General features: G+C 50.4%; 1 annotated feature.

The window, feature by feature from the left end:
• Window positions 1084-1605: an enhancer, noted in NCBI's record as "H3K4me1 hESC enhancer chr3:185701333-185701854 (GRCh37/hg19 assembly coordinates)". NCBI's record gives its function as "activates a minimal SCP1, AML or CMV promoter by ChIP-STARR-seq in primed H9 embryonic stem cells {active_cell/tissue: H9 hESC(primed)}" and the evidence as "EXISTENCE:reporter gene assay evidence [ECO:0000049][PMID:30033119]".

Genomic DNA, 1805 nt, shown 5'->3' on the forward strand with positions numbered 1-1805 from the left:
TTAAAAAAAAAAAAGGAAGAAAGAAAAGAAAAAAAAGAAGACTGAGACAGGCCAGGGCTGTCATGGATCAGTCCCAACAATTGTTCCTGGAAAGCATGAGAAGTCCTTCCAGGATTTAGAACCAAACTTTGCAGTGGCTGATCTGAAATGAGACTGTGCACTTTAGGGACCTCAATCTCACATAACAAAGAAGGGAAAATAACTTCCAACTAGTCTGAGACATTTTAATATTTGTTGACAGTGGACAAAAGATTCCACCCACTATCCTCTCCCAGTCCTGCCCAACAGTCTCCAGGCCAAAGGAGGGAAAGGATTCCCTTTGCAGTTGTTCAGGTAGAGACTTGGGGACCCAAGAGAGGCACAGAAGGTGGAAATAGGGCCGTGCATCTCAGTGAACAAGAGCACCCTTTGTTGTCCAGGAGTAGATTAGGGTTGGGGGTGTGGGCGATGGAATAGAAAGGATGCAGAAGATCTCTCTCCGTGATTCCAGAAATGACCCTAGAAATTCAAGCTACAAAGTCAGATAATCCTGGATTTGATTGCCTCTGCCACTGACAAGTTGTGTGAACTTGGTCAAGTTACTTGATTTCTAGGCTTGGTCTCCCCATCCTCACTGGGGACTGCTGGGGGGACTGAAAGATTGAAAGCATGAGAGGCACTTTGTATAGTCTTTGCCAGGTAGTAAGTGCTCAAGAAACAGCTGTAATTATTCTCTCTTCTCTCTCTCTCTCTCTCTCTTTTTTTTTTTTTTTTTTTTTTTTTTTTGAGACAGAGGCTCTTGTTGTCCAGGCTGGAGTGCAATGGTGCAATCTTGGCTCACTGCAACCTCCGCCTCCCGGGTTCAAGCGATTCTCTCTTGTCTCAGCCTCCCGAATAGCTGGGATTGCAGGCGCGCGCTGCCACGCCCAGCTAATTTTGTATTTTTGGTGGAGACAGGGTTTCTCCATGTTGGTCAGGCTGGTCTCGAACTACTGACCTTAGGTGATCTGCCCTCCTCGGCTTCCCAAAGTGTTGGAATTACAGGCATGAGCCACGGCGCCCGGCAAAAAAACAGCTATAATTATTGTTGAGCATAATTCCTCCCCTTGCCTCCTTCATATGCCTCCCAAAATTCTGAAGTGCCCCCTGGGCGGTTCCCAGTGTCGCCTGACCTTGGCCTCCTGGACTGCAGGTTCATCTTGCTCTAACCGCCCGCTGCCCGGTGTCCCGTCCCTTCCCAGCTTCCTTCTCCCACCACTAGATGGCAGTATGAGTCCAGCATAAGAAAGGATCGCTCCAGCCTCATCCCAGGTGATTTTTTCCCCGGGCTTTTTTGGGGAATAAAGCCAAAGGAGATAGTTATACGGCGCATCTTAAAGCCTTGTCGGTTACCCTCCGTGGCCATTTCGACAGACATGCGCTGGTCACCTTCTCTGGGGTGAAGTGCCTTCTCCGTGCCGGATTTGAGATTAAGGGAAGGAAAGGGAGGACCAAGGGATTATCCAAAGACTCCAGCACTGGCTCGCCCCATGCAGAGGAAGGCCCTCAGGCTAAGGGTGAGCCTTCTGCATAGAGGGGTCTCAGACCCTGCTCCAGGAGTGCAGAGCACAGGGCCTGCCCTTTCTCCGCCTGGCAGCCGGGGCCGAGCCTTGCTGGATGCTGGTGCTCCTGCTGCTGGCTTCTCCGCTGGCCACACTGCTTGTCATCCTCTCCCCAACCCAAGGGACCTTTGCAACTCTGAAATCCCATCAAGACTACACAAGGGGCAGAGACAATTCACTAAAAGGAAACTGGGGCACTGTTAGGAAGTGCGTATTGAACGGCCC

Source organism: Homo sapiens, chromosome 3 (genome assembly GCF_000001405.40).
Source record: "Homo sapiens chromosome 3, GRCh38.p14 Primary Assembly".
NCBI classification, from domain to species: domain Eukaryota; kingdom Metazoa; phylum Chordata; class Mammalia; order Primates; family Hominidae; genus Homo; species Homo sapiens.